The following is a 21,342-nucleotide window of genomic DNA, read 5'->3' as shown; positions in this document are numbered from 1 at the left end:
CTGTAGTCCCAGCTACTCGGGAGGCTGAGGCAGGAGAATTGCTTGAAATGGGGAGGCGGAGGTTGCAGTGAGCCAAGATTGTGCCACTGCACTCCAGCCTGGGTGACAGAGCGAGACTCCGTCACCAAAAAAAAAAAAAAGAGTTTAAGGCCATTTGCCATTATAGCTATTATTTTATATTTACAAAACTAAACAAAGAAGACCTGATTTTCAGATGCTTCTTTTGTCTTCCAACCTAACTCCTCCTTTTTAAGGCAGACATCAGAGTATACTGGAAATAACATTTAGAATCAAAGTGACCTGGTTTCAATCCCAAGTATGGTTTTCTTAGCTTAGTGATTTAGGACAAATTACTTCTCTGAGCTTCAATTAATTTCTTTCTTTTTCTTTCTTTCTTTCTTTTTTTTTTTTGTAATATGAAGGTAATACCCATTTCCCAAATTCTAAGGATTTATTGGATTTAAACAATAACATGTAAAACATTAGGCCAGTATTAGGCATTCAATAAATAAATGTTAGTTCCATCTCCCACTATCTTCTATTAACTTGTGTTTTTCTCTCAATTTTCCTTCAAAAATGACACCAAGTTTTGTCTTTTTGATATCCTTTAGTGCTATCTTGTTTGTGGCAGTTCAATAATTCTATTATATAAAGGTCAACCTTTTTATTTTTCTTACCTTGCTGAGTTTGCTCACTTTATACTAAAGGCATGTAGATACATCAGCTGATTTTGTTCAGGCCGCTAAGTTAAGGCAATACATATTTTTTCTTTTTCTTTTAAAAAAAGTTTCTTCTTGTATGTCCTTCCAACGAGTAATTTTTCTAGTTTTAAACAGCCAAATTCATAATAAAAGTGATAGCTATGTTTGTTGAATATTCAGTGTGTACCAGCCACATTATATGTATTATCTCATTTTAATCCGAAACCCTGTAAGACTAGTATTTTTATTATCTCCAAAACCAATGAATCTTAGGGAATTTAAGTAAGTTGCCCAAAGTTGCACAGTTAATAAATGGCAGAACCAAGATTCACATCCAGGCAATCTTACTTGTGAGCTATCAACCACCACACACTACTTGATAGCACCAGAATAGCCCAAATCTCAAATTACCCAATGTGTGTAATTCAGACAAATTAATGCCTTGCAGTTCTTTCTGAAAGTGCTTTTATGCATTGTTGGAGATTTAGGAGTGATACGGTTCTGGCTACTTATCAATATTAAAATTTTTCTCTAGCATTTCTTAACAATTCTATGGATTGCTGTTCTTCCCTACAATATAAAAATTTTATTAACCTTCGTTAAGTTCAAAAATAATAATAGTAAACTCTTACACAGACTTTGGTAAAAGTTTGACATTTTTCTAAATGCTTGTACTTACTAACTTATAGGTTTTTAAAATTTTCATGTGTTTCAGAGTTTCCTGAATAAGTTTTTCCCAAGTTCTGTGTTATTCTTTTTGATGAAAGGATACTGGCTTCCCTACAATCATCTTTTCAACTTCTAAAATGTTTAATTTTTTAAATTGAGGTAATGCTTTAAAAATCAATAAAGCTATAATACAATTCTAAATAGAACTTCTCTACAATATGTTTATTTCTTTCCTAAGCTTTTAATTCTGGTGCTACACCCAGGTTAATTTAAAATGTATTTTCTGTTGGTATTGTATTTTATTTTATTTTTTGAGACAAGGTCTCACTCTTCCGCCCAGGCTGGACTGCAGTGGTGTGATCATAGCTCACTGAGACCTCAAACCCTCTTGCTCCAACTGTCTTCCCACCTCAGCCTCCTGAGTAGCTGGGACTGTAGGTGAGCACCACCATGCCTGGCATGCATATATATATATCAATCAAATTTTGTAGAGACACGGTCTTGCCATGTTGCCAGGGTTGGTCTCAACTCTGAATCTCCTGGCCTCAAAGGGTCCTCCTGCCTTAGCCTCCCGAAGTGCTGGGATTACAGGAATGAGCCACCATGCCAGGCCTATTTATATAGAATGTTTTCATTTATTACATCTGGGGAATCATCTTTTCAAGTTAATTAGTCAATTTGACAGTTTTAAACTAAGAAGATTTAACAGATTCTATCAATCCTAACTTCATTCCATCTTAATGTCATAAATTAGTAGGTTAATTTTGAAAAATTCTGCCTTTTAGTTTTAAAACTTAAGACCAAACAAGTCAACCGAATTGTTAATCAGTTTTATTATGTAAAGGAAGGAAGAGAAAGAGCAGGCTTTTGTTTTTTGCTGCTCAACTATTTTAATGAAATTAACAGTAATGAGTAACTTTATCTCAGTTGGTCCCATCTTACTGGGATTTTTGTAACAATTATCACTGAATTATGTACTTTATAGTCAAGAACATTTTTATGCTATAGATTTTTGAATATGTATAATACATTATATGAATCTGTGTCTCAAAGAGTCAACTTACTTATTCTTTTTATCTTAAAAGAATAAATTTTACACTGATCTATTACTAAGCTAATTTGACAGCTAGAGCTAGCAATTGGTATAGATTTGAGCTGAAAGTGAAATGATGAACTGAAAATTGGAATTGGTTATTAGCATCCTAATATGTTTTATTATTCAAGTGATTTAGGACAAGTTACTTGACTTCTCTAGGCTTCATAAATGATTTTTTTTTTAACTTTATTGAGGGTAGGGATCATGACTTAAATTTTTTTTCTATGTTTTTCAATACCTCAGTATATTGTAGGGACTTGTTGAGAACTTGTTGAATGAATATATTGTTCAGAGTTTACCATTACTCAGTATTTTAGTTGTCACATCTTAAAATAGATAATCATTTTTACCATCACACTCCCTTCATAAGATATAGAAATAAAGCCCTTCTTGTTTGGAAATGGTGGTATTTTGGTTTTACTTTTTTTTAAGTTACTGTTGTAAGGTACTACTTTAATATTTTTATTTAACTTTATTTGTTTGTCTTTAGTAGGACTAAGCTAATGAGAGCTTTGACTTGCTTAAACGTTGGGCAGGAAAGCAGAAGAGAAAAGGGAAGTGGAAATCAAAACAACAGAGAAAAGAAAATGCACATATTTGGGAAATAGAACATGTTACTAACATCTGTGTCACATAATAATCAGTGGTAGGTTGACATCATTTGCCTAGATGTTCATGACTGAAGAAAAATTTTTCACTTAAAAAAGGGAAAACCTCAAGAGGCTGCCTATGTTTAAAAAAAAAAGAGCAAGTATTTTCATTTGGTTTTTGATGGAAATGATAATACATTTGAACATTTTTTTTCCCATTACAAAGTACTAAATGAGGTCAGACATGGTGGCTCATGCCTTTAATCCTAGCACTTTGGGAAGCTGAGGCAGAAAGATTACTTGAGGTCAGGAGTTCAAGACCAGCCTGGGCAACATAGTGAAACTCCGTCTCTACCAAAAAAAAAAATAGCCAGGCATGGTGGTGCACACTTGTAGTCCTAGCTACTTGGGAGGCTGAGGTGGGAGGATCACTGGAGCCCAAGAGGTCGCGGCTGCAGTGAGCCATGATCATGCCACTGCACCACTCCAGCCTGGGTGACACAGTGAGAACCTGTCTCAAAAAAAAAAAAAATTAATGCTAAAATGTAATATGTATAATCTCATTTAATCCTCAAACATTAATTTGTTTAAATTTTGAAGATGCAGAGATAGTCTCATGGAGATTAAATTGTTAATGCTAAGTTACACAGGTAGTGAGTGTTAGATACAGGATTTCTAATTCAAAAACTTTATTTTCTTCCTACTGTTTCATAAATGTTACATTTAGAAAATTAAGAAAAGTGGACATATGAGTCCGTTAAACAAATATGGCAACAATAAAACTGTACTTGTTAAGTAGTCTGGGCAGTAACAAGTAACAGAAGAAAGTGAAAGATACAAGGGACTGAGAAAGAAATGACAAAGAACAGGAAAGACAGCATAGCATAGTGGTAAAGAGAACAGGCTCTGGATTTAGACTGCCTCGTTTTTAATTCCAACTCTGCCACTTACTAACTTTGTGATCAGTTACTTCTCTGCTGTGTATACTTATCTATAAAATGAGGATAATAATAGTAATTTACAGGGTAAGTAATAAAGCTACATCCCTTGCTTTTACATGTTAAAACCTATTTATTTCATCAGCATCCCCGACCTCTACCCACTGGGTGTCAGTAGCACTCCCTTTAATTCTAACAACCAATTGGGTAAGGCCAAATTCCTTATTACCCTTTTCTACAATTCTTGACATGCTGTGTAGAGTACAGTGTAGGGGGATAAGGATAGAAGCAGGGAGCTCCATTAGAATGCTGTTGTGGTAATCTTGGTAAGAAATGGTAGTGATTAGATTCTGGATATATTTGAAGGAAAAGCCAATAAGATTTCCTAATGGGTTGAATGTGGACTGTGAGAAAAAGAAGTCATGAGTGATTCTAAGAATTTTGGCCTGAGCAAGTAGAAAGAGATTTTATCAACTGAAATAGGAAAACACTAGGTGGGGTAGTTTTGGGGGAAGAAAATCAGAAATTCCATTTTGGACATGTTAGGTTTGAGCTGTCTATTACATCTAGCTAAAGATGTTGAGTAGGCAGTTGAATAAGCAAGCCTGAAATTCAAAAAAGAAGTTTAGGCTAGAGATATTAGTGTGGAAATTGTCATTGCCTAAATTAATAGAACTTTCTACAATGATGGAAAAATGTTTATGTCTATACTGTCTAATATGGTAGACACATGTGGCCACATGTGGATTTTGAGCACTTCAAATGTAGCTAGTGTGACTGAGGTATTGAATTTTTTTATTTTAGTTAATTTAAGTAGCCACACCTAACTAGTGGCCACTGTATTGGGCAGCACGAGCTATGATAGTAAAACCATAAGACTGCATAAGATTACCAAGAGATCAAGGGTAGGTCAAGACTGAACCTTGGAACTCTGCAACTGTAAAGGGATCTGAGAAATGAGAAAGCAGCAAAGGAGACAGAGAAGGAGGAGGGACCAGTGACGTAGGGAAAAAACCTGGAGGCCCAGTGAATCCAGCTTGTCAAGGAGGAAAGTGATTCTTTTGGCAAATATTTCCAATAGGTCAAGTAAGTTAAGGACTGAGAAATAACCCTTGGGGTTACCAATGTGGAGATCTTTAGTGATCCAATAAGAACAGCTTCTGTATAGTGATAGGAAAGATATCATGATTAGCATAGGCTGAAGAAAGAATGAGAGGATCTTATTTATCTTGTGCTTTCTATTTTTTCCCACCTATTTTATATTTTTTTCTCCTCTTTTGCTTTCCTTTAGTTCAGTTATTTTTTATCCTTCTTCTTTCCCCTCTACTAAATTTAAGGTTATACACTGCTTTCTATTAATAGTTACCTTAAAATAACAACATCAATGTGTGATGTTGATCTGGACAACATAAGGACCTTTGGACATTTTAATTCCAAGACCTTCGTCTGACTTTTTTTTTCCCCTTTGGTCTGGGATTTTAGTTCTTTTTTTTTTTGGCTTGTTTTATTTTTTTTAATTGGGGTCTCACTCTGTGACAACCAGGCTGGAGTGCAGTGGTGCAGTCTTGGCTCACTGCAACCTCTGCCTCCCTGGTTCAAGTGATTTTCCCACCACAGCCTCCCAAGAAGCTGGAATTACAGGCGCCCACAACCATGCCTGGCCAATTTTTATGTTTTTAGTAGAGACGGGGTTTCACCATGTTAGCCAGGCAGGTCTCGAATTCCTGACCTCAAGTGATCTGCCCACCTCGACCCCCGCAAAGTGTTGGGATTACAGATGTGAGCCACTGTGCCCAGCTGTAATTATTTTTTTCAAACCCTGTAATGTTTATTCTCTTACATTCATTAAATTTCATAAATCTGTAGATAGGTATCTTTAATGGTCAGCCATTATCTCTACAGATATTACTTCTGTCTTCTTACTTTCTGATTCTCCAATTACATGCTTTTCAGACCATCTCATTCTATCCTTCATGTTTCTTAAACACCTTCCACATTTTCTGCCTTTATTTTTCTCTCTCTGCCACATTCTAGGTAGTTTCTTCTGACTTATCTTCTATGTCGTTAATTTTCTCTTCAACTTTTAAACTCATTCATTGAGTGTTGAATTTGGGCTCTTGAATTTTTTTTTTCCTAAAAATTCACTCTGGTCCTTATTTAAACATACTAAGTCACTTTTTGAAAATGTCTACTTTTTCTGTTATTTATTTAAACATAGGAAACATTATTTTATATTTTTATTTCATTGATTTTTGTAGTTGAAGTTCTTGTGGGTCTGTTTCTGCTTTTGTTTCTTGTTCTCACTCATAGTACTTTATTTCCTCATATGCTAGGTTATTTTTGACTCACTGTTTGTTGTCTTTAAATGATTGTTAGCAGGACTTCTTTGAGGCCTGCGATGAAGGTGTATCTTTACAGGAAAGATTTACATTTGCTTCTATTGGTTACCTAGAAGTGCTACCAAGCAGGTTAATCTTAAATTACATTCATAGCTTTAAGTGTTCCTTGCAAATTCTCATGAGGTGCAGTTTATGGTAACAAAAAAGCTCATACACACACATGATGTGGTCAGTAGTTTTGGGTGTTTTTTTATTTATTTTTTTGAGATGAGTCTAGCTCTGTCACCCAGGCTAGAGTGCAGTGGCACGATCTTGGCTCACTGCAGCCTCCACCTCCTGGGTTCAAGCTATTCTCCTACCTCAGCCTTTCAAGTAACTGGGATTACAGGAGCGTGCCACCATGCCTGGCTATTTTTCTATATTTTTAGTAGAGACAGGGTTTCACCATGTTGGCCAGGCTGGTTTTAAACTCCTGACCTCAAGTGATCCACCCACCTCTGCTTCCCAAAGTGTTGAGATTATAGACGTGAGCCACCACTCCTGGCCAGTTTGTTTTTTTGTTGTTTTTTGTTTGATTTGAGACAGGGTCTCACTCCATCATCCAGGTGGCTGGAGTGCAGTGGCGCAATCATAGCTCACTGTAGCCTCCAAATCCTGGGTTTAAGCAATCCTCCCGCTTCAGCCTCGGCCTCCAAAGTAGCTGAGACTACAGGCATGTGCCACCATGCCCAGCTAGTTTTGTTTGTTTTTTAGTGGAGATGAGGTTGTGCCATTTTGCCCAGGCTAATCTCAGACTCCCAGCCTCAAGCGATCTGCCTCAGCCTTTCAAAATGCTGTGATTACAGGTGTGGACACTATAGCCTCTGGTCCATTTTAAGAAGACTTCTTTGTAGTTCCCTTGTGAGGGAATAAGCCATTTTACTTCTTGTTAAACCTTACTCTTATTGCAAAGGTCTTTATAGTTCCAGCTGTATTGTGGTGGGGAAGTGGGGAAAGGGGATGATTTATTATTATAATAATTCCTTACTTTGGATGAACACTGAGCTTTGACTTCTGTTTCCCAAATACTACACAAGGCTTTGAAAACCTCAGCTGGAATTCTTCTGGTACAGCAAATACCCTCCAGGCAGCAGCAGTTTCTTTCAGTCATTTTCCTCTCTTGGTTCTTTAATTTCACCTACAAATGGCCTGATTTTCCTTACTGTTTTTGATGCTTTTCAAAGATTTTAAAAATATTTTATTCAGTATTTTTAGTTTTTTTTCCGCAGGAAAAATGAGTCCGAATAGCCTAATCTGTTTTATTACTGAAAATGAATTGCCCCACTTATTTTTTAGTAAGCTGAAAAACAAGAAATAACTCCATTTAAGGTTAGCAAGTTTCTGATAAATATTTCAGGCATATACCTCATTAAGATATCTTCAGCAAATTCCAGTATTTTTCCAATTTGTTATTCATGAATATTTATTAGTGATGGATAATAAAATATTTTAAAATTAAACTAAATTATTTATCTTCTTTGTGTAGGACTAACTTCTTCAGTGCTTAGAGTGTGAGAAAAATGGCAAATATGAATAGTGATTCTAGGCATCTTGGCACCTCTGAGGTAGATCATGAAAGAGATCCTGGACCTATGAATATCCAGTTTGAGCCATCGGATCTAAGATCCAAAAGGTAAGCATTTAAAATAAAACACATTTCATAATTAGGGTCTTTAATGATTAAAATACATCTAATTATAACCAAACATGTATAGATTTGATTATAAAATATCCACTTTCTTACAGGATTTGTGTGTATACATGTGGAGAGAAGTAAATAGGAATACTATTTACTGGTTTATATTTTTTTTTTTTTTTTTTTTTCACTAAACTCAACATCTCTGTTGGGGGAGTGGTTGGGGTAACTTTACAAAGTAAGGTACATTGATATAATTCATTTAACAAATATGTATTGATTACCCACTTTGCGCAAGGTAATATGCTAAGTGCTCGAGGTAGAAGAGTAAAAGTAATAGAAAATCTTCATCTTCATTGAGGTAAAATTTCAGCAGATAGTTTAAAATAATTTGAGTTTAAATTTTATTTCATTGTATACCTGTAAAACCCAAAAGAATCCACAAAAAAATTATAAACAGTAAGAGAATTCAATAAAGTAGCTGCTTACAAAACAGGCAAAAATAAATAGACTTCCAATGAGAAAATGTAAGAAAAAATAAAATACATAGAAATGGTCTTGAGTGCTCAATGGCGCCCAGGCTGGAGTGCAGTGGCGTGATCTCGGCTCGCTACAACCTCCACCTCCCAGCCGCCTGCCTTGGCCTCCCAAAGTGCCGAGATTGCAGCCTCTGCCCGGCCGCCACCCCGTCTGGGAAGTGAGGAGCGTCTCTGCCTGGCCGCCCATCGTCTGGGATGTGAGGAGCCCCTCTGCCTGGCTGCCCAGTCTGGAAAGTGAGGAGCGTCTCTGCCCCGCCGCCATCCCATCTGGGAAGTGAGGAGCGCCTCTTCCCGGCCACCATCACATCTAGGAAGTGAGGAGCGTCTCTGCCCCGCTGCCCATCGTCTGGGATGTGGGGAGCGCCTCTGCCCCGCCGCCTCGTCTGGGATGTGAGGAGCGCCTCTGCCCGGCCGCCACCCCGTCTGGGAGGTGAGGAGCGTCTCTGCCCGGCCGCCCCGTCTGAGAAGAGAGGAGACCCTCCGCCCGGCAGCCGCCCCGTATGAGAAGTGAGGAGCCTCTCCACCCGGCAGCCACCCCGTCTGGGAAGTGAGGAGCGTCTCCGCCCGGCAGCCACCCCGTCCGGGAGGGAGGTGGGGGGGTCAGCCCCCCGCCTGGCCAGCCGCCCCGTCCGGGAGGTGAGGGGCGCCTCTGCCCGGCCGCCCCTACTGGGAAGTGAGGAGCCCCTCTGCCCGGCCAGCCGCCCCGTCCGGGAGGGAGGTGAGGGGGTCAGCCCCCCGCCCGGCCAGCCGCCCCGTCTGGGAGGGAGGTGGGGGGGGTCAGCCCCCCGCCCGGCCAGCCGCCCCGTCCAGGAGGTGAGGGGCGCCTCTGCCCGGCCCGCCCCTACTGGGAAGTGAGGAGCCCCTCTGCCTGGCCAGCCGCCCCGTCCGGGAGGGAGGTGGGGGGGTCAGCCCCCCGCCCGGCCAGCCGCCCCGTCCGGGAGGGAGGTGGGGGGGTCAGCCCCCCGCCCGGCCAGCCGCCCAGTCCGGGAGGGAGGTGGGGGGATCAGCCCCCCGCCCGGCCAGCCGCCCGTCCGGGAGGTGAGGGGCGCCTCTGCCCGGCCGTCTCTACTGGGAAGTGAGGAGCCCCTCTGCCCAGCCAGCCGCCCCGTCCGTGAGGGAGGTGGGGGGGTCAGCCCCCCGCCCGGTCAGCCGCCCGGTCCGGGAGGGAGGTGGGGGGGTCAGCCCCCCACCCGGCCAGCCGCCCCGTCCGGGAGGGAGGTGGGGGGGTCAGCCCCCCGCCCGGCCAGCCGCCCCGTCCGGGAGGGAGGTGGGGGGGTCAGCCCCCCGCCCGGCCAGCTGCCCCGTCCGGGAGGTGAGGGGCGCCTCTGCCCAGCCGCCCCTACTGGGAAGTGAGGAGCCCCTCTGCCCGGCCAGCCGCCCCGTCCGGGAGGGAGGTGGGGGGGTTAGCCCCCCGCCCGGCCAGCCGCCCCATCCGGGAGGTGAGGGGCGCCTCTGCCCGGCCGCCCCTACTGGGAAGTGAGGAGCCCCTCTGCCCGGCCACCACCCCGTCTGGGAGGTGTGCCCAACAGCTCATTGAGAACGGGCCAGGATGACAATGGCAGCTTTGTGGAATAGAAAGGGGGGAAAGGTGGGGAAAAGATTGAGAAATCGGATGGTTGCCGTGTCTGTGTAGAAAGAAGTAGACATGGGAGACTTTTCATTTTGTTCTGTACTAAGAAAAATTCTTCTGCCTTGGGATCCTGTTGATCTGTGACCTTACCCCCAACCCTGTGCTCTCTGAAACATGTGCTGTGTCCACTCAGAGTTAAATGGATTAAGGGCGGTGCAAGATGTGCTTTGTTAAACAGATGCTTGAAGGCAGCATGCTCATTAAGAGCCATCACCACTCCCTAATCTCAAGTACCCAGGGACACAACCGCTGCAGAAGGCCGCAGGGTCCTCTGCCTAGGAAAACCAGAGACCTTTGTTCACTTGTTTATCTGCTGACCTTCCCTCCACTATTGTCCTATGACCCTGCCAAATCCCCCTCTGTGAGAAACACCCAAGAATGATCAATAAAAAAAAAAAAAGAAATGGTCTTAACATGAATGTGTAAAATCTATATGAGAGAAACTAAAATGCTTCTGACATAAAATAAGATTTAGAGGATTTCATAAAATCTGAGATGCTACTGATTATAAATTGCATATTAAAAAAATTTAACACTAAGAAAAACTGCTGCCCATAACTCTGATGCAATAACCTCTTAGGACTTAGAGTTTTTGTTTTGTATTTACTGCAAGAGCTCTTGGGCCACGCACGGTGGCTCATGCCTGTAATCCCAACACTTTGGGAGGCTGAGGTGGGTGGATCACTTGAGGCCAAGAGTTCCAGACTAGCTTGGCCAACATGGCAAAACCTGGTCTCTACTAAAAGTACAAAAATTAGCTGGGCGTGGTGGCGCACACCTGTAATCCCAGCTATTTGGGAGACTGAGGCATGATAATCACTTGAACCTGGGAGGCAGAGGTTGCAGTAAGCCAAGATCGTACCACTGCACTCCAGCCTGGTGATAGAGCAAGACTCTGTCAGGAAAGGAAAGGAAAGGAGAGGAGAGGAGAGGAGAAGGGTGGGGAGCGGAGGGGAGGGGAGGGGAGGGGAAGGGAAGGGAAGGGAAAAGGGAAAAGGGAGAACTCTTGGACTTATGTGATATTTTATCCTATATTTCTTGTGCAATTATAAAAATGAAAATAGAAACAAAGTATATTGATTAAGGTATTACTGACACCTCACATTTAGAATATGATTCTTCTGAATTATTTTTTGATGTAGAGTCATCAAAATAGTTGTTTCCCCCACCACACACACACACACAGAATTGTCCTTAGTGCCATTAAGAACCCTGGTGCTGTAACATTTCCTGAAAAGATTTTCTTCCAGGTCACTGACACTTAAGTTTTGATGCTTGCACTTTCCTGATCTTACCAGAAGATGTCACAAAAGGTTTTCTAACAAGAACATGACCCATCTGTCTTCCTCAAATGGTCCTTAAATGGTTTGTCTGACATGACCACGGATGGCAGTTACCTGTCATGCCATCAGGAATAACTACTATCATATTGTCACTTGCTGACAGTGATTTTTTTTTTTTTTTTTGAGACAGGGTCTCACTCTGTAGCCCACACTGGAGTGTGATGGTGCAATCATGGCTTGCTGCAGCCTTGATCTCCTGGGCTGAAGCAGTCCTCCCACTTCAGCCTCCTGAGTAGCTGGGACTACAGGTGCATGCCACTGTGACCAGCTAATTTTTTTTTAAATTTTATTTTGTAGAGAAGGGGTCTTGCTGTGTTACTGGGGCTGGTCTTGAACTCCTGGGCTCAAGCAATTTGTCCATCTTAGCCTCCCAAGTAGCTGGGACTACAGGTGCACACCACTGCACCTGGCTAATTTTTCAAATTTATTTTTTGCAGAGATTGCATCTCACTTTATTGGCCAGGCTGGTCTTGAACTCCAGGGCTCAAGCAATCCTCCCACCTTGCCCTCCCAAAGTGTTGGGATTACAGGTGTGAGTCACCACGCCTGGCTCTGGCAGTGATGAAAAAGTGTTCTAGATTATGAGATTCATCCTTAATTAGAAGTGTTTAAATATGTATATTAGAATCAGTAAAATATGATGTAATAAAAAGAATTAAATGAGGCATATTCTGCTCTCATTGGGAAGACTCTGAAGATGTCATAGTCTTCAAATTTTAATCCATAAATTTAATGTGATTTCCCCCCTAAAATGCCAGCAGCCTATTCCAAAGTTTATATGGATCAGTAATTTCACTTCTAAGCATTAATTCACATTGTCAAAAATTGTATGTGTACAAGGTTGTGTAATGCAGTATTTTTTATAGTAGTAAAGATTAAAAGCAATCAAAATTTCTTACAGGATTGGATAAATAAGTTGTGGCACATTTATACAATGGAATATTTTTTCCTCTTAAAAAGGAGGTGGCTTTATTACATATCAAAATGGAACAAGTCTTCAACTTATTTTGTTAAGTGAAAAATTGAAGTACAGAGCAGTGTGTATAGTATGCCACCATTTGGGTAAAAATAAATAAATATAATATGTATAAATGAAGTTTTGGGTAGTAAATAGGAAACTGTAAGATGGTTGCCCCCTCAGAGGGAAACTGAGTGCTTTAGGCGGGATGGTGTGGCAGATACTGTTAGGTAGACACCCAACAATTAATCAGCAACCCTACCTATTCCTTAATGTCAACAGAATCCTTATTTTTTTGAGTCACAATGGGTCTTCATCCAAGAGATGAAAGATGGTTGGTTTAAGCTAATCTTGATAATCCTATTTTCATTCGCACATACTTAAGTTTTTAGTCTTTCTTAAAACTAGAGGTGGAAATGTGAAATTTATCACATGAGAAATTTATCATTGTCATTTATAGTGGCCATCAGAAAAGATAATGAAATAAGACTTTTGATTCTTACTTATATAATCCAATGTCAGTAAATATAAGCACTAATGAATGCTGACTTGAATGCTCAGGGTTTTCTTGAAAATTCTAAATTCTGTGATAAATAATTGACCACTGTGACAACAGAATGTAAGTCATTAAAGTGCATTCCATTACAGTAAGTTGGCAGGAGTTCAAACAGTTCTCTGTAAATTTGTTTAACTGCGTAGATTAAATGGCAATATATTTTCTATAATGAAACTTGTTGAAATGAGAGGGAATCAGCTATTTACAATCATGGCATAACTACCTAGGTAAGCATGTTTTAAGAAAGGCAAATATAGAGACTTAGCAGTACTAAATGCTAATTTGCTTGTGGAATAATTTGTTTAGGAAAACAAACTATTTAATGAGAAAAAATGTAAGTACCTTCAAACATTGTTATTTCTGTTAAAATATGGATTACTTCACATTACATATATAAATAAAACTCATCTACACTGTGGGAAAATTATCTTCCATTTGAAGAACCAGATTAGGACAACTATTTCCAAAACTGTAGTCATTTTAGAGTTACCTTATGACTTTGGCAATATCTTCAATAGTACCTGTATAATATAAGTGAATGTTTCTTCAAAAATCTATTTACTTTTTAAAATTAGGGTTAATTTAGCCTCAACCCAGCTTTGTAAAACGATGGATTTGAAGTGTTGTTTATGCTTTTTTTCTAATACGCATTGCATTAAATACCAACTAGTTTAAATAGCATTTATTCTTGTGCTACTTACAATCATCTTACATATTACCATACTTTGAGAAACTGTCTTTGGCTGTCAGAGTATGTCAAGTATATATTTAGATTACTTATCCTCAGTTTAGCTTGTGGTTTTCTATCTCTTCCACTAGGTGGCAATAAAAATCACATAATTTTAATAACTGCTTTGGACTGAAAGTATGATGGTTCGCTTATCCTTTTAGTGGAACTGGGGTCTAACTAAACTTAGGTGGAGGAAGGAGCTTGTTGTTATAGGGGAATAATATATGTCAAGTCATTTGGGGGGCTTTTTCAAACTATGCAGGCCTACTTTTTATTCTGCATACCCCTCCCCCACCAGTTTTCCCCCTGATTTGGGGGTGGAATAAGGAATGTGAGTGGAGGGACAGAAAGGTTTAGAAGTCTCCTATCTTGATATATGTGCTACATTCCATTAGCAAGTACCAGTCTAAGAGGTTACTTTCCTGTTTTTCTCAGACTTTCTGGTAGCCAAAGATAGAACCTGATTTTCAGTATTGCTTGATGTTGCTGCATATTCAGGATTGCTGCTATTCTCGGACTATGCCCTGGGGAAGTTGCCCATCCAGCTAGCCTACAAACAGATTGTGAAATAGTTAATTTGTTTTTGAGCTTCTCTTGTTTTTCAGTCTTTCTCTATCTCTGTTTCCTCTTCTTCCATTTTCCCCAGGGCCTAGGGATTTCATATCCTTCTCTGTATGCCCAGTATTACCCAGGGCAGGAATTCACTCAGACTTAACCCCTTAGGCAATTCTTTGTAAACCATATTTTTCTTCTGCCCCTTATTCACCAGTACTTATCTGTCCTATTCCCTCCAGGGCTCTGTTGTCAGCTTGGTATTATAATGGAAAACAATTGGATATGTCAGAGACTTAGTCTATTACATTTCCATGGCTATTTGCATTTTAACATGGAGAATCCGGTAAATATGAAGTCCTAACCAAAAGTTTCAAGATTTTTCTAACTGAGAACATTTCAGGTGCTCTGATAAGCCAAGTGGGGTACAGGCAGCATTCCTACTGCCCTTCAAACAACCTAGGTATGCTGTGGCACTCTTTTTTATAATGTCCTCTAGCGTGCACATCTGTAAATTGGTCTTTCTGTTTTACCTGTCACTAATACTGTCACTATAGAGCAGCCTAAGTTGACTCTTTTTGGTACTTAAGGTCTTAGGAGAGAGGAAGAAGGAAAAATATATAAGGACAAAGAATTTGAGAGAATAAAAGGATTCTGATGGGATTGTAAATAAGGTCGCAGTCTAACAAGTTTATATTTAGATTTAAGACATCTCTAACTCCACATCTCAGATTGTCCTCTTAGCACTTTACAAAAAGTTCCTTTGGGGAATCTAGTACAATGATATTTACTAAGGCAAAGTGAAGAGTTTATCTATTAATAGGTAACAGTAGATAGATCCTGGCCCAGTGACAGTGATTGGAAGTAATTGAGGCTTGATGGTTTCATAGCTGGGATTATACAGATGTTCAACAAAAGACAGAAAAGTAGTTTTCCCAGGAGGGGTGGTTTCCAGAGTTGTATAAATTATATTTTGAGGAACTTGACATCAGTGTTAAACAGATGGACTAGGACCTTGGTCATTAATCAGTGGCTAGTGCGGATGGCCAACTTGCTAATTGTATTACTTTTATACCCTTCTCCATCCTCTTTCCCTTCCATTCTCTCACACTTGGGCCTCCCTCTCTTCTCTCCAACTTTCCACTGTTACTTTTCCTCAAAGGAACTGTCTTTTTGCTAAACACTTGAAGAGTGTTTAGCAAATCCTGGCCTTAGAGTCAGAGATGCCTTAAATCTAAATACAGGCAAGGCACAGTGGCTTACACCTGTAATCCCAGCACTTTGGGAGGCTGAGGGAGGTGTATTGCTTGAGGCCGGGAGTTTGAGACCAGCCTGGGCAACATAGCGAGATATATGCAAAACTTAGCAAATTTCTACAAAAGCAAAAAAAATCTAAATACAAACTTTGTTAGACTGGGATCTTATTTCTAGTCCCATTAGAATCCTTTTATTCTTACAAATTCATTGTCCTTATATATTTTTCTTTCTTCCTCTCTTTTCAAATAGTTTTGTTTGCTTAATTGCCCTTTTGTATCCATAATTGCTTGCCTGAGTGGCTTCTTTCTTTCCTAGATCAATCTGTTCTAATTGATTTTACTATTTGTTTACTTGCCTGGAAGCTAGTTTTGCTTTATCATCTTTTCTTCCTGTCTCATTATTATTATGATGCTTCTCCACTTATTTTGGGGTGTTCCTGATAAACCCATCATAAGCCAAAAATATCCTAAGTTGAAAATGCATTTAATACCCAGATAAAACCATCATAAAGTCAAAAAATCATAAGTTGAACTGCTGTAAGTTGGGGACTGTATTAGAGAAGCCTGAAGAAAGAGGGAGCCTCGTTGGGTTTGACTGGTACTCGTTAGGGCCAAATCAAAAGTGTGGGTTTTTTGGAGGAAATAATATGAAGGGTTGGGCTAGCATTGTTCTCTGTCTGCTCAATATTGTAACACATCCAAGTATATATTTAGTCAAAAGGGTTTTAGTGTAATAGTATAATTATGCTATAAAAGCAGTAAAACCAATTGCAAGTATATAACAAGAGATTTGAAACTTCTTTTAACAAGCAGACTTAAAACCAAATATTATTGAATTGATGGAGGCACATGAAATGCCAGTGTCTTGTTATAGCTCAGTGGCTGACTATAGGCCAATGATAAGGAATTGGTGTGAAAATTACACATTGAGATTATGCATCTTTGGCTTGCCTGATACTTTTTTTAGTCTCATTCTGAAATTGTCCCCGAAGTCTATTACATAGCTTTTCTATGCCTTATTTTAAGTTAGGAGATATGTTTTCTGTAAAATCATATTGGGAATTGTTTTGGTGCTATACTTATAAAAAGCCCTGGTTCATTTGCTAGAACATCATGCTTCCTTATTTTTTCTACTTCAGTAGTTTATAGTTTATCTTGGTATATTATCACTACTTCAACTAAGGTTATTTTTATCTTTGTTTAGTGTATACAGATCTGACCTGATACTTATTCTAACACTAGCTTTTTAAAATAACACTAGTTTTTACTTATGTCTATCAAAACTTCTGCTTTTTTATTTACCTATACTTCATATACAGAATGGCTTCTAGTTTTACTTCTCTTAAATTGTCTTATTAATTTCAAATAGAGGCAAGCATTGGCCTTCTTTATTATGTCTTTGAGTGTAGCTATGCCTGGGAATTTACATGTTAAAATACAATTTCATTATGTTATTTTCATTTCTTTCTCTTTTCTATTATAGTGAGAGTTATTTTTATTTTTTAAAAATTATGTCTCTAGGTAGTTATATATTTTCTATTTTATTAAGGCTAGTAAATGGGGTATTAAAAATAATTGCTTAAAGAGGTCATGCCCTAGGGCCGGGCGCAGTGGCTCACCCCTGTAATCCCAGCACTTTGGGAGGCCGAGGCGGGCGGATCACGAGGTCAGGAGATCGAGACCATCCTGGCTAACACAGTGAAACCCCGTCTCTACTAAAAATACAAAAAAATGAGCCGGGCATGGTGGCGGGCACCTGTAGTCCCAGCTACTCTGGAGACTGAGGCAGGAGAATGGTGTGAACCCGGGAGGCAGAGCTTGCAGTGAGCCGGGATCGGGCCACTGCACTCCAGCCTGGGCAACAGAGTGAGACTGTCTTAAAAAAAAAAAAAAAAAAAGAGATTATGCCCTAATTCATACATTGCTGGTGGGATTGAAACATGGTACAAAGACAAGGATGCCCTCCCTCACTACTCCTATTCAACATAGTATTGGAAGTTCTGGCCAGAGCAATCAGGCAAGAGAAAGAAATAAAGTTCATTCAAATAGGAAGAGAGGAAGTCAAACTATCCCTGTTTGCAGATGACGTGATCCTATATCTAAAAAACTGTATCGTCTCAGTCCAAAAGCTTCTTAAGCTGATAAGCAACTTCAGTGAAGTCTCAGGATACAAAATCAATGTGCAAAAATTGCTAGCATTCCTATACACCAACAACAGTCAAGCCGAGAGCCAAATCTCGAATGAACTCCCATTCACAATTGCTACAAAAAACTAAAATACCGGCCGGGTGCAGTGGCTCACACCTGTAATCCCAACACTTTGGGAGGCCAAGGCGGGCGGATCATGAGGTCAGGAGATTGAGACCATCCTGGCTAACACAGTGAAACACTGTCTCTACTAAAAATACAAAAAATTAGCCGGACATGGTGACACGCACCTATAGTCCCAGCACTCGGGAGGCTGAGGCCAGAGAATCTCTTGAACCCAAGAGGCGGAGGTTGCAGTGAGCTGAGATCACGCCACTGCACTCCAGCCTGGGCGACAGTGAGACTCTGTCTCAAAATAAATAAATACATAAATACATAATAAAAAAATAAAATACTAGGAATACAGCTAATTAGGGAAGTGAAAGATCTCTACAAGGAGAACTACAAACTGCTGCTCAAAGAAATCAGAGATGACACAGACAAATGGAAAAGCATTCATATGCTCATAGATAGGAAGAATCAATATCATTAAAATGGCCATACTGCCCTAAGCAATTTATAGATTCAATGCTATTTCCATTAAACTACCATTGACATTCTTCACAGAACTAGAAAAAACTTTTTTTTTTTTTTTTTTTTTTTTTGAGACGGAGTCTCGTTCTGTCGCCCAGGCGGGAGTGCTGTGGCGCGATCTCCGCTCACTGCAAGCTCCGCCTTCCGGGTTCACGCCATTCTCCTGCCTCAGCCTCCCGAGTAGCTGGGACCACAGGCGCCCGCCACTGCGCCCGGCTAATTTTTTGTATTTTTAGTAGAGACGGGGTTTCACCGTGGTCTCGATCTCCTGACCTCGTGATCCGCCCGCCTCGGCCTCCCAAAGTGCTGGGATTACAGGCGTGAGCCACCGCGCCCGGCCTAGAAAAAACTTTTAAAAATACATATGGAGCCATAAAAGAGCCTGAATAGCCAAGGCAATCTTAAGCAAAAAAAAAAAAAAAAAAAAAAAAACAAAGCTGGAGGCATCATGCTATCCAACTTCAAATTATATTACAGGAGTACAGTAACCAAAACAGCATGGTACTGGTACAAGAACAGACCCACAGACCAATGGAACAGGATAGAGAACCCAGAAATAAGACCGAACACCTACAACTATCTGATCTTCAACAAACCTGACAAAAACAAGCAATGGGGAAATATTCCCTATTGAATAAATGCTGCTGGGATAACTGAGTAGCCATTTACAGAAAATTGAAACTGGACCTTTTCCTTAACCATATACAAAAATTAACTCAAGATGGATTAAAGACTTAAATATAAAACCTAAAACTATAAAAACCCTGGAAGACAACCTAGGCAGTACCTTTCAGGACACAGGCACAGGCAAAGATTTCATGATGAAGATGCCAAAAAAATTGCAAAAAAGGAAAAATTGACAAATGGGATCTAATTAAACTAAAGAGCTTCTGCACGGCAAAAGAAACTATCAATGGAGTAAACAGACAACCTACAGAGTGGAAGAAAATTTTTGCGAACTATGTATCTGACAAAGGTCTAATATCCAGCATCTATAAGGAAGTTAAACACATTCACAGGAAAAAACAACCCCATTAAAAAGTGGGCAAAGAAATGAATAGGCAGACACTTCTGAAGACATATATGCAGCCAACAAGCATATAAAAAAAGCTCAATATCACTGATCATTAGAGAAATGCAAATCAAAACCACAATGAAATACCATCTCACACCAGTCAGAATGGTTATTATTAAAAAGTTAAAAAGTAACAGATGCTGGTGAGGTTCTGGAGAAAAAGGAAGGCTTATACACTGTTGGTGGGAGTGTAAATTAGTTGAGCCATTATGGAAGATAGTGTGGTGATTCCTCAAAGACTTAAAGACAGAAATACCATTCGACCCAGCAATCCCATTACTGGGTATATACCCAAAGGAATATAAATAGTTATATTATAAAGATACATGTACACATACGTTCACTGCAACAGTATTTACAATAGCAAAGACATGGAATCAACCAAAAGGCCCATCAATGATAGACTGGATAAAGAAAATGCATACACCATTCAATGCTGTGCAGCCATAAAAAAGAATGAGATCATGTCTTTTGCAGGGACATGGATGAAGCTAGAGGCCGTTATCCTTAGCAAACTGACAGAGGAACAGAAAACCAAATACCACATGTACTCACTTTTAAGTGGGAGCTAAATATTAAGAACACCATGGACACATAGAGGGGAACAACACACACTGGGGCTTACTGGAAGGTGGAGGGTGGGAGGAGGGAGAGGATGAGGAAAAATAACTGATGGATACTAGGCTTAATGCCTGGGTGATGAAATAATCTGTACAACAAACCCCCATCACACATGTTTGCCTATGTACATAGGCACATCCTGCACGTGTAACCCTGAACTTAAAAGTTAAAAAAAAAATGTACAGCCATTTTTGAAAACAGTTTGATAGCTCCTCAAATGTTAAATACAGAGCTATCATATGACCTAGCAATTCTAGTTCTAGGTATCTATCCAGAGAATTAAAAACATATGTCTACACAAATACTTGTAAACAAATGTTCCTAACATTCATGATGGTCAAAGTGGAAACAACTCAAATGTCCATCAACTGATGAACAACAATATGTATCAACCTTGAAGACATTATGCTGTGTGAAAGAAACCACACAAAAAAGACTACATATTGTATGATTCCATTTATATAAACTTTCTAGATTCGGTAAAGCCATAGAAACAGAAAGTAGATTAATGGTTTCCAGGGGCTGGGGAAAGGGGAAAATGGGGTCTGGGACTTCTTTTGGGATGGTAAAAATGTTCTAAAATGGATTATGGTGATGGCTGTACAGTCATCAATCTGTGAATTGAGAGATTAAGGAATTTGGGCTGACCAAGTTGTTGAGAATAACTAGAAAAGCTGACAAAATGTTTTTAAAAATATGCTTGAAGACATAGGACAACTAATAAGACAATGTAGAATACCGAGGTCTAAATCAGGAAGAAGACAAAGCCAGAAAGGAGAGCCCAGCATTTCCTCAAGAATATCTGCCAATTCCAGTTTATTAGCTGAGAGGCTTAAAACAGAGCTTTTGGCCAGGCGTGGTGGCTCACATCTGTAATCCCAGCACCTTGGAAGGCCAAGGCAGGTGAATCATCTGAGGTCAGGAGTTCGAGACTAGCCTGGCCAACATGGTGAAACCCTGTCTCTATTAAAAATACAAAAATTAGTTGGGCATGGTGGCAGGCGCCTGTAATCCCAGCTACTCGGGAGGCTGAGGCAGGAGAATCGCTTGAACCCAGGAGGTAGAGACTGCAGTGAGCTGAGATTGCACCGCTGCACTCCAGCCTGGGCGACAGAGTGAGACTCCATCTCAGAAAAGCAAACAAACAAACAATAACAACAACAACAAAAACCAGAGTCTTTGCCAGCCTATAGGGCTAGAGGAAGAAAATTTGGAATCCAGGGCCCACTAAGAGAGACTTCACGTAAACTTTAGGTTGGAAGCCCAAAGGGCTACAGCCTAGAAATGTGAATG

At 40.1% G+C, this 21,342-nt stretch overlaps 1 protein-coding gene across 47 annotated transcripts in view, besides 1 other annotated feature; it reads left to right on the top strand.

Annotated features, from left to right (window-relative positions):
• SLC38A9 (solute carrier family 38 member 9) overlaps nt 1–21,342 on the top strand; it is an 86,491-nt gene that overhangs the window by 6,485 nt on the left and 58,664 nt on the right. For 14 of the 47 annotated variants that reach the window (NR_146165.1, XR_007058583.1, XR_007058582.1 and 11 more), the window contains exon 3: nt 7,859–8,005. Coding sequence is in view for 41 of the 47 variants with exons in the window: in XM_047416799.1 (XP_047272755.1) it covers nt 7,893–8,005 (113 nt within the window). In the remaining 6 variants the exon portion in view is untranslated. Of the gene's footprint in view, nt 1–1,416; nt 1,530–1,710; nt 1,809–2,956; nt 3,113–7,858; nt 8,006–12,797; nt 13,262–14,558; nt 14,663–21,342 lie in introns of those variants that run through there. The other 33 variants (XM_011543183.2, XM_047416792.1, XM_011543178.2 and 30 more) reach the window with 8 other exon arrangements.
• Nucleotides 10,103–10,633: an enhancer, noted in NCBI's record as "NANOG-H3K27ac-H3K4me1 hESC enhancer chr5:54991046-54991576 (GRCh37/hg19 assembly coordinates)". NCBI's record gives its function as "activates a minimal SCP1, AML or CMV promoter by ChIP-STARR-seq in naive H9 embryonic stem cells {active_cell/tissue: H9 hESC(naive)}" and the evidence as "EXISTENCE:reporter gene assay evidence [ECO:0000049][PMID:30033119]".

This window comes from Homo sapiens, chromosome 5, assembly GCF_000001405.40.
Source record: "Homo sapiens chromosome 5, GRCh38.p14 Primary Assembly".
NCBI classification, from domain to species: Eukaryota; Metazoa; Chordata; class Mammalia; order Primates; family Hominidae; genus Homo; species Homo sapiens.
This window is presented reverse-complemented; position numbering and strand designations above follow the sequence as displayed.